This window comes from Homo sapiens, chromosome 7, assembly GCF_000001405.40.
Source record: "Homo sapiens chromosome 7, GRCh38.p14 Primary Assembly".
NCBI lineage: Eukaryota > Metazoa > Chordata > Mammalia > Primates > Hominidae > Homo > Homo sapiens.
This window is the reverse complement of record NC_000007.14, coordinates 20,240,243-20,252,257: the sequence shown is the minus strand read 5'-3', so window position 1 is coordinate 20,252,257 and position 12,015 is coordinate 20,240,243. Positions and strand designations below refer to the sequence as shown.

At 37.4% G+C, this 12,015-nt stretch overlaps 1 annotated feature.

Moving 5' to 3' along the window:
• Positions 10,081 to 10,170: an enhancer, noted in NCBI's record as "active region_25691". NCBI's record gives its function as "activates an Ori minimal core promoter by ATAC-STARR-seq in GM12878 lymphoblastoid cells {active_cell/tissue: GM12878}" and the evidence as "EXISTENCE:reporter gene assay evidence [ECO:0000049][PMID:35858748]".

Genomic DNA, 12,015 nt, shown 5'->3' with positions numbered 1-12,015 from the left:
ACCTCATAGGCACTGATTCCATGTTCAGTAATGGTGATTCCGTCTTTTATTAGTCAGGGTTCTCCAGAGGAACAGAACCAATAGGATGCACGCATATATAAAAGGGAGTTTATTAGGGACAATTGATAATTGGTTCACACGATTATAAAGCAAAGTGTCTAGAAGCTGGGGAAAGAGAGAAGCCAACAGTGGCTCAGTCCAAGTCTGAAAGCCTCAAAATCAGGGAAGCTGACAGTGCACCCTTCAATCTGTGGCTGAAGGCCTGACAGCCCCCAGGAATCCCCTGGTGCAAGTCCCAGAGTCCAGAGGCTGAAGAACCTGGAGACTGATGTCCAACTGAAGGAGAAGAGGGAACAAGTGTCTGGCACAGGAAGAAAGAGAGAGCCAGAAGACTCAGTAAACAAGCTTAACCTTGCTTCTTTCGCCTGCTTTTTCTAGCTGCACTGGCAGCTTATTGAAAGTGCCCACCCACATTGAGGGTAGGTCTTCCTCTCCCAGTCCACTGACTCAAATGTCAATCTCCTCTGGCAACACCCTCACAGACACACCCCGAAACAATACTTCACTAGCCATGTAGGCATCCCCCGATCCAGCCAAGTTAACATCTAATATTAATCATCACACATCCCTTGACTAAATCTATACTAACTCTTATCTAATACTGGATTAAAGAGTATTTGCTGATTGCTCTGTTTACTTAAGGACTTCTTAAAATATTAAATATGCTAATATAAAATAACTGATGTTCAAGAGGGATTAAATGTTGCATTTCCTAAAATTATTTGATCACTGGGTTTTTCTTCCCATGAAATTTCTTAATAGCAGTGTTGTGCTGAACAATTATTGTGAAGTTAGTTGCTCTCTAGAAATGAGCATCTTCTGTGTTAAAATAAGTCAACTGTCTATTTCAACCAATAGTCTGAAGAGAATTGCTATATTTAATGTAAAAAGTAATAGAATCTATATAAAAGCAATGACTATAGCTTTAAAGTAACTATTTGTTAAAAGGATGGATAAGTGAACAAAGAGTAGTAAGGCAATATCTGCATCTTTGACTATTCCCCCAACCTGTTTCTGGCTAGAATGAACTTTGAGAATTGTCCAGCTGATATTCCATTGTGAACACTGATACAGCCGTACAAACAATGAGCAGGTTCTCAGAAGTTCTAGCCTCTCTCTCAATTTCTGGCTGTTGCATATCTTGCTTCCTGCCTCTAAAACATTATTTGCCTCACTTTTCACTTACCTAGCTCCTGTATCAGTTCAGATATCTGCTCACACATCACTTCATTAAGGAAGCCTTTTCTGACAGTTTAAATTAGGGTAGATGTTAATTCTACAAGCCTCCAAAATACTCTCTGCTTACATTTACTTCAGCCTTTAAGGTTCTATGTTAAAACTGCCTATCCTTTGTTTGATTCTCCTACTAAGATATAAACTCCTTTGGGCAATGACGTTATCTTGTTCTGTGTGTGTGTGTGTGTGTGTGTGTGTGTGTGTCAGAGTTTCACTGTTCTTACCTAGGCTGGAGTGCAGTGGTGCGATCTTGGCTCACTGCAACCTCTACCTCCTGAGTACAAGCGATTCTCCTGCCTCAGCCTCCCAAGTAGCTAGGATTACAGGTGCCTGCCACCACGCCCAGCTAATTTTTTTTGTATTTTTAGTAGAGACCAGGTTTCACCATGTTGGCCAGGCTGGTCTCGAACTCCTGACCTCAGGTGATCCACCCACCTTGGCCTCCCAAAGTGCTGGGATTACAGGAGTGAGCCACCGTACCTGGCCTATCTTGTTCACTCTTGTATACCCAGTACTCAACACTGTGCCTGGCATACAGAAGCTGCTTCATAAGGTTTTGGTTGATTGTCCAAATTGTCCATTATTTACATAGCTAATCCATGGCAGATCTGGATTGAAATCCAGATCTCTTTGCATATGGGGCATTTGTTTTCTACTGCCTTGAGAAACAACCCCCTCCACACACACACTCATCTAAACACACAGTTATTAAAATCTACTCTTGAAAGTATTACATGGTTCAGATTGACAATCTGTTAGGGAAAGACCCACAACTAATGTAAATGATTCTAAATCCTTCCACTGAAGTGTGACAGAAGTTGGCACCACATGTGTTGTTTCTGCTGCAGTGAACTTTGGTCCAGGAATGGGCCCTGATGCATTTCTCATGTGGTGGAACAATAATAATACCTACAGTCCAGCCATGTGGAATGGATACGTCATGGGGGAACTGCACAAATATGTCCTCCTCCCATCTAGCAATATTATAAACAGAACAATTTCCTCCTCCCATCTAGCAATATTATGCACAAATATGTCCTACTCCAGAAAATATATCTAAAACATCGCGACTTGTTCACTTATGTCAGCAGTAAGGAACCATTTTGCAAGTGTTTCTAATAATGAAAAGAATTAACATTTTAAATCTTTTCACTCAAGTATGTTTGAACTCAATTTTCATTATGTGTTGTAGTTTATATTGTATTTGTGCTACAGAACAACGGGTCTTTCATTCTCAGCTGTAATGATGAATTATGCAAAAGTTTCTAAGTGCTTTTCTTTTCCTTAATCATTTTGGTGTTCAACTTTCAGATCATGGTAGTATTACACACCACTGCATCTGAGAGGAAGAAAGAAGAGAGTTTGACAATAGCTCCTACAGCTGTATAGAATACACTCTATACCCTCCTCAGTGAGAAAGTTTATTTGTAATTCAGATAGCACAGGCTGAACACACGATCCATTCATTGTAATTGTTCACCCCTTTTAGTGGATTTGACGTCTGAAGATCTTAATTGCCAAGTTTCTACCTTAATCAGAGGTTGTCGATCACATGGTGTTTTAAAAATCAATTGAGTTAACATTTTAAAACTAGGAGATTTAGCCTCAAATTCCATATTTCTGTCTTCTCTTGAAAAATCCATGTATCTGGAACCAGATGCTCGTGCAGCATAAAATCCCTTAGTGGGGTTGGCTGCTGCCTGTCCCTTTCATTTATAAGCATCTCTAGTCCCCACACCCACAGGTTTCTAGCTTTTATGTTACCTCTTTGGCTCTCTTGGCATTGAGTTCTTAACATCTAGATTAAATATTTCTGTTTATATAAGTAATAATAACTTTGTCAATCAATTAAATATGTCTAAACAAAATCTACTTTCAAGATCAATAGTTATTGAGTTCTTTCATCTTTAAGTGCTGGGAGACATTTTGTACAGATAGGATGATATTAAAATCAGAAAAAGTGAGCTTTTGGCCAATATTATTTTGTGTATGACTCAGTTTAGAGCAGTAAGAGTTTACTGAACATCTATGAAGCCCTGGGGATACAGCCATCTGCTTTTGAGAAACTTATACTTCTTTTTCTGCCTATAATCAATCAACTCTCTACAAACCAGTAACAGGACTGTGGATTTGGGGTAAGGGAGGCTACAATCTGTTAAATAAAACAGAATTGGAAAAATTGAACTTCTTTTTAGCCATCTATTTAGACTTGTGTTAGTTCACAATAACGATTTATAGACTTTTTATCAAACGATACATAACGATCATAGACTTTTTATCAAAATTAAAGGAAACATAAATCCTTAGTTATATTCTTTAATTTGGGGGAAATAAAAGGTGTTTTGTGAGTAAATACTTTTCTTCTTAGATTGAAAAGTAAGATTCATTTGTTCTCTCATTGAGCATAATCACAGAAAGTAGGTCATTGCTTTCCTCACCAAATTAACTAAATATGTTAGCCCTTGAACTTTAAATAAGAGTCACATTTTAATGCTAGAATGGCTATGGTGTTTTTCGTCTGTTCCCTAGCTGTTTACATGTTCTTTGACCAGCTTTATTGCTTTCAAAATGCTTCACAGTGTTTCATCTCTCCTACTGTCAAGGCTGAAGAACACAGAAATTTGACAATTCCTGACACCAACTCCCCTGGCTTAGGCCATCTGCGCTTTTACTTTAGAATTTTTCATTACTTTGATCTGATTTTCTACAATTTTGCCACCATGTAAAATGGATCCTGAATGGGTAGGCAAAGTTGTAAGTCAATTATCAGACTTGAAGTCTATCTATTCATTTATTTTTCCTCCAAACCTGCTTATTTTTTTTAAATACCAATACCTGAAAATTGTATTTTATTGAACTGCATATTAATGCATTCTCTCCTGTTTCTCAGTGTTTGTTATGAAACCACAAAAGCTTTTGCACAGTTTTCAAATAAAGCACAATAATCCAATAAACCAATCACATTTTCTAAAATCAAGTTCAAAACAATACCGGGAAGTATAGTTTTTTCCATAAATTTAGAGAAGAGATCAAAAGTAAACAAGTACCATTCAAAGATAAACTTAATATAACAATAATAGATGACACTATTACCAAGGAACTTGTACAATCAACTGCAATGTTAATATCAAGTATCAGCCTCAAAGAGAAACCAGGAAGTTATTGGCAAAATATTTTATTAAATACAGGTCAGTGTTGTACAATGGTATGTGGTGTGGAAGACCAATTACTGACATCTGCATGTTTTAGCATCATTCTTAATCTCCTTTAAAATTCTCGTGGTCCTTATAACCAATACCTTCTTCTCATAAAATGGTACTAGTCTCATAGGTTAGTGGAAATTTTATACTTACTAGTGTCTCTCTATAGCTATGTTGTCTCTTTTTTAGCTTTGAACAAGCTGTAAACTAACTAAACTAATTAATATTTTTTTCCTGAGATTGTCTCCAAATAGATACCTTCTCTCTATTCAGTGAATTTCCAAATGTTTCTGCTTTCATCATTCCACCAATGGATCTGCTTTGGCTGAGGTATCTAAGAAGTTGCACATTGCCAAATTCAACAGAGCCTCCCCAGTTTTATTTTGCTTGAGCTTTCTTCAGGGTTTGACCCTCTCCTTGAAACCTGTTACCCTGTGAGACACTATAATCTCCTAGTTTCTCTTCTTTCCTATACTTCTTAGTTTCTTTCATAGACTTCTCTTCTTTTGCCTATCCCTCAATTAATAAAACACATTTTATTTTAGGCCTTTCATGTGCTTATCCCTTCCTTGAGTGATCTACTGCATACTTAACCTGAACATATACAACTATGTCACTAGCTTTCAAAGCTATATCTTCTGTCTGGATCTTTGTTTTTTGTCCCACATTCTTATGCCCAACTCTTGAATACACATTTGCATTTAGATGGACTTAAGTACTTCAAATGCAGCTCAGAATTTGCACCCAAGGCTGATCTTCCTCTTTTTTCTTTTCCATGGTGAAGAATACCTTGATATATGCAAAACGCCAAGTTACAACCTGGAACTAACTCTGATCTTCTTCTTCTTCTTGAGTCCAATCACTTACTCCAGAAAGATGGGAAATAGTTTTAAAGACCACTAACTTTCTGTTCCCATGGCCAGTTTTCTATCCCACTTGAAATAGTCCCGCCAGATGTTTCACCTGGGCAATCTAGTTCAACTTGGGCTCCTCCCACCTTCCCTAAAGGGCAAGACAATAACTTCTTAAAATGTCAATCTGTTCTTACTACTCTCACTTAAAATCTTTCATGGGCTCAATGCCTAAAACAGAAGTTTTAAAAAAAAAAATTTTAATAAAGAAAACATTGAGTGGAAACCTAAATTGATAAAAGCTAAGCAGTTTTTATTTCTCAGCAGGTCCTGATGTGTCTTTACTCTTTGTATTTTGAAAACCCCGGGCCTGCAATGTGAAATCCAAATTCTTCATGCAGCCAACAAGGCCCTCCCTACCTTACATGTCCCTGCCCTCACTTCCCTGTTATCCTGCTCTCCACCACATTGATCTCTCTGCCTTTCCCTAAACTGACTACTTTTGTTCTGGGCTATGTTGCTGTTCCACATCGCTCCTGGCTGCCTGAATGTTCTTCCTCACCTAGTTCGACCGATCACATCTGGCTCATCTTTGAGATGCAACGAAATTGTCCCCTAAGAGGTATATCTCAAGGCTCCTCTTCTTCCCTACACATTGTCCCCACAACAGCATTGATTGATCCTGCTTCTGAGCTTTGTAGTGTTTTTATATGCGTCTATATGTTTTGTGTATTTCTCTATTTTATATATACCTCTATTTTAGGTTGTTTATGGGTTAATCTCTCCCAGTAGACTGTGAACTCTATGAAGGCAATTGCTGTATTCCGATACCTTCATCTGGTACCTTTTACAATGATTTTAGGGAATTTGCCCTTTTCTGAATATGTTACTTTTACCATTTACTCCTTTTCTTAAGATGCAAATACACTTTTAACCCATTCTGAACAGTTCTGCAGTGCCTCTTATGGTTACTTTAGTTATAATATTAATAAATGGCAGCCAAGTGATTTATCTTCATAGATTTGTATTTAAAAATCTTGGAATATTTTTAGGTCATCCATTCATTTATTAAGTTATTCAATGAGCATTAATTGAGAACCTATAGTGCACTAGGCTGAAAAGTGGAGAGAAGTGGGGATATCTATTTCCTTGTGTTAAGGCTTGCCATCCCAGTCCATGGTGATAGCTTTCAACCTTAACAGCTTATGGATCCTTTGAAGAGAAACTACATTTTGCTTTTAATACACTAGTCCCTAGAATAGATGGCTAAGTTCAAGAAAGGAAGAATAGGCTGGGCGTCGTGGCTCACACCTGGAATCCCAGCACTTTGGGAGGCGGAGGCGGGTGGATCACCTGAGGTCAGGAATTCAAGACAAGCCTGGCCAACATGGTGAAACCCCGTCTCTAATAAAAATACAAAAATTAGCCGGGTGTGGTGGCGGGTGCCTGCAATCCCAGATACTCGGGAGGCTGAGGCAGGAAAATCACTTGAACCCAGGAGGCAGAGGTTGCAGTGAGCCGAGATTGCGCCATTGCACTCTAGTCTGGGCAACAGGGTGAGACTCCGTCTCAAAAAAAATAAAAGAGGAAGAATAAAGCCATAAAGCCTTCACTATTTTGCTGTTATTTTTGAATGCGTTATCATATTGAAGTCAGTGTCAGCCCAGAAGAGATGCTGATAAGATGCAAAATTATAACCAGAATTCATTTGCTGTCTAAAAATTCCATGACATCTTCCTTTTATTAAGGTAACTATGAGGAGATTTTGGACCTTAGTATTTCATATATATTCCTTATATATATGAATAAAATAATTTTTATCAGTTTTGGTGGGGTAGTTTATGTGTCTGTCAGTTATTAGACTGGGAATTAGAAAGTAATTATTTTTATTATTTCCATTAAAAAACCCTGAGTTGATGATTTCAAAACAAAACAAAACAAAAACCAAAAGCCCCTGTGACAAAGATTGTTCATGCCTGCCAAACCCAAACTCACATATTCAATGCTTATGCAAGAAGCATGGAAAACACTTAGCTTTTCTCAGACTGCTTTGTATTTTTAGAAAAAGGAACGGGGAAGCTAATATTTATTGAACGTTGGTTATGTGCTAGTATGGTGCCAGATGCTCTCCTTTAATCCTCACAAGAAACCTTGAGGCAAGAGGCATTACCTCCATTTTTGCCAGTGAGAAGAATTAATCTCAGGATAAAGTAATTTGTCCCAGATTTCTAACTAGAAATGGACAGATTCTGATTTAGAACTCAGGGCTCCACTGTCCATCCATAATCTTTCTACTATGCAATACTGCCTCTGATGCAAGTGCTCAAGGTCACTAGGGGATAATATTATCTAAGAAAATAGGCTAAAATATCCCAGCTTTTCAATGACACCACTTTAAGCCTGACCTTCTTGTTATTTATCCCAGTGGCACGCTCTTATCTATTTACTACTATGATTCACTTTTCACTGTGTATAGTTCATTTCTAGTTCTCTCCTAAGCTTTTGAAGCCTCTTAGAATTGAGCTTCATGATGTAATATATACAATATATAGGTCTATTAACTGGAAATCACACTTTAAAAAATTATTTTTTCCAGCAGTAAAACAAATGTGGTTTTCTTATTGTATCAGAGAAAGTACAGAGTGAAGAGTTCCTTCTTTTGCCTTATTTGCCCTCAATGAAAAGTTATCCTTTAATTTTATGCTCTTTTTATTTATTCTTTGTTTTGCGGTTATGAAGACTTTTTGAAATATCACATCCTTTTCTGCTGAAACATTATGCTAGAGCCCAATATTTGTGTATCATAGAAAGAGATTTGCCATCCAAATATGAGAATGCTATAAGAAAGGTCAGTGCTACAGCAGAATATATTCGGGCCAGAAACTAATGTGCATTTTGATAGTTTTTATTTGAATCAGGAATTTTATATTATGATTTTATTTCAAAGCATTAAAATACATGGCAATGATTTAGCAGTGGAATCATGTGTAGAAATTTTAAAAGATGCATCTCTTACCTGATTTCCATTATTTCTCTCAAGATCATATTAAATAATGTTGGGTTTCCAAATATTCAGGAAGCACCTAAATATAATTCATTAGCACTTAATCACAAACTTACTATAATGCCACAAATCTGTCATGAGAGTAAGATGATTACAATCTTTTCTTAGGCAAACAAAAAATATGAAAATTTCAGCTTGTACCTTTCATTGAGTTTTTGGGTGAAGGAAGACCATTATTAAAACAAATTGCAATCTGAACTGATGGAATAATGAACAGGAGGAATCAGGTTTATATTTGCAGCATATGTCTAATTTTATGTTCCCACAAGCTTTAATTAAAAAGCTTAAATTTGGCCAGGCATGGTGGCTCACGCCTGTAATCCCAGCACTTTGGGAGGCCGAGACGGGCGGATCACGAGGTCAAGAGATCGAGACCATCCTGGTTAATACGGTGAAACCCCGTCTCTATTAAAAATATAAAAAAATTAGCCGGGCATTGTGAGCACCTGTAGTCCCAGCTACTTGGGAGGCTGAGGCAGGAGAATGGCTTGAACCCAGGAGGCGGAGCTTGCAGTGAGCCGAGATTGCGCCACCGCACTCCAGACTGGGCGACAGAGCAAGACTCCGTCTCAAAAAAAAAAAAAATCCTAAATTCACAACCCTTTAAATTACAAATTAATAACTGAGATTTTGAAATACCTGTACTATAAACAGCTTTATTATGCTCTACAGTTTCGATTAGATTCTGCTTTGAGTTCTTATCAGTTTTATTTTGTAGAACAGAGAATCATCAGAAGAGGAAACTCATTTTTTTGTAGGTAGTAATAGAATAAGAAAGTTATCCTAGTGCTTATCCTGTCCTCTTCCCTGCTCAGCACCAATAATTTGTTGGGTGTAAAGATTTGTTTAAAGATACTGACCATCTCCCCCTACTACTAATCTCCTTCCCATCCCCTCATTGTCCCATCCCCAAAACAAACAACCTGCATCTGATAATGGGCAGCAAGCAGGTATTATTCTTTAGTAAACTAAGTCAAGACCAGCAAAGCATAGGCTTGCCTTATACTTATATGTATAATATATAAATATAAATATGTATATATTTATGTACATATATGTATAAATATATTATTACACATAATATATTATATATATTAAATATGTATATAAATATAAGTATGTATATATTTGTACATATATCACATGATATATCATCCATGTCATTTGATATATATAAAAGTCATATTGTCTTTGCCTAAACTTCATGTTTGATGGCAGAACCAAATCTGGAACTCAGATTTCCAGGCTAATATTTATACCACACTACACTGTTGCTTATGCTGAATTCAGCTAGTGATTTTTCTAGTTTGCATTGTGCATATAAATATATATGTGTTGCCTCAGTATTTCCATAGGTTTTAAGGGAAATTCATTCATTCCACAAATATGTATTAAGAACTGACTATGGGCTGGAGATATAGCTAAAAGCAAGATGGACAAATTCCTTGCTTCACAAGGCTTAAATTCTAGTAAGGGATACAGGCAATCAATAAGTTGACAAATCTATAATATAGTAATAGGTATTCAAAGCAGGGCAGGGAGATAGAATATTTTGGAAATTACTTCATGAATGCATTGTCCTGCTGTATAACTTTTTCAAATGAAGATGGGTTTGAGACATTTTGAGAGAGTCTTTGTCCATTTAGTGTTGCTATAACAGAATACCAGAGGCTGAGTAATTTATAAAGGAAAGAGGTCTATTTAGCTCATGGTTCTGAAGGCTGAAAAGTACAAGAAGCAAGGCACTGACACCTGCTTGGCATCTGGCAAGGGCTTTTCATGGTGAGTCAAACATGGCAGAAAACGTCAAAGAGGAAGTGGACATATGTGAAGAGGCAAAACCTGAGTGGTGTCCGGGCTGTTTAACAATCAACTCATGCAGAAATATTCCTGCAAGAAATAATCCAGTATTCAGATATTGAGTCTCCCAACACCAGCTTGGTGTTGTTTCTCAAGTCATTTACTGCTGAGGAACAACACCAAGCCCTTCATGAGGGACCCACCTCCATGATCCAAACACCTCCCACTAGGCCCCACTTCCCAACACCAACCACACTGGGGATCACATTTCAACATGAGTTTTGGTGGGAACAAATTCAAACCACAGCAGGAAAGTATGAACAAAAAGTATGCTTTTATCTGCAGTACTTTGGACTTCATTCAGTATATTTGCACTCATGCGTGCACAGACACGTACACACACAATGTGTTGGTAAGATTGGTATGATAATGGCTTTCTCGATGCATTGTTAAAATGCCATTTTAAATAGAGATTCATTGCTTTTCATTATGAGTGTTGTCATTTTCACTCTAATGTATTTCAATGACATTGTCATCTAACATTGTTAACATATTTAAGTGTTGATGAAAAATTCTTTGAAAAGCCAGTAGATAAAGAAAAAAAAAATACAATAGAAAGACAGCAAAGGAGAAAACACACTGGATTCTCAGTACAACTGTAAAGGTTTTTCCACTCCTGGGGAATTCTAGTGTGTTGTAGAGAAGAAGGAAGAATCTTATGCTTCCTCTCACCCTCTTCTCTCAGGAAACAATAATAATGGCATTTAGAGCTCCTGAATGGCCTTGAGGCAAAAAGAAAGTGTTTTCTTTTTCCTCCCCTACTTGTTTGAAATATCTGAGGGTTTCTCTCTACAATTAAAAAAACAAATATAAAGTCAACAGTGCTAATAGCTGTAATAACCAGTAATATCAGGCTCTTACTATGTTCCAGGCAGTAGGCTAAGTACTTTACATAAAATTATTGCATTTAATGAAGACAAAAACCCTATGACTCAAACGTTATTATGTTTATGTTATGGGTAGGAGTCCTGAAGAGGTGAAATACCTTGCTCAAGGTCACGTATGTAATCAAGAGAGTCAGGCACGGACCCTAGCAATTAGATTTAGGGTCTCGACTCTTAAACACAAGCCATCTGTATGAGACAAACTGTGGATTGGGTTCGAAGTGAAATGTGGAAAAAAATGAGCTGCAAGGTATGAAGGATGAAATGTCGGAGGCTGGTCATTGGCCATGATCCGAAGGAAAGTAGTTCAGTGTGGTAAAAAGACCATGGCTTTTCCAAATATCTGTCTCCTCTTCTTGAGGGTGATCCCCATGAGCATAACAGAGAAGCTGTTGAACATAAGCACAGGTTGATACAAAAAGAAACTTTGGAGAAAATTAGATAATTTTTTCACTGCAGGAGTTTCTTAGATAAGAATTAGTAAAGCATTTGTAGGGCATGTTTTGGAAAGACCAGGGAAAAGCCTTACAAGTATCAACCAAATCGAAAGGGTACTTGTGGTTGGTGGATACGTGGGCTTAATTAGCCATGGCTTTCTGGTCCTGCTGCTTCTTCTGTCTCCTGTGGCTGCTAACGCTGGGTGAAATTACTCACATTTGCAGACACTTCTGTGATCACATATTCACTCACTCAACCAATATGGCAAGTGCTGATTTAGTGGGCCAGAACAGAAATTAAAGAGCTAATGTCTGCTTTAGTAGCGCTTCTGTAGTATTTCTTTTTTCCTTCCTGTAATCATTTAACACATTTTATGATAGTAAATTGCATGCTATATCTGGCTCTGGCTTTCAACCAAAACC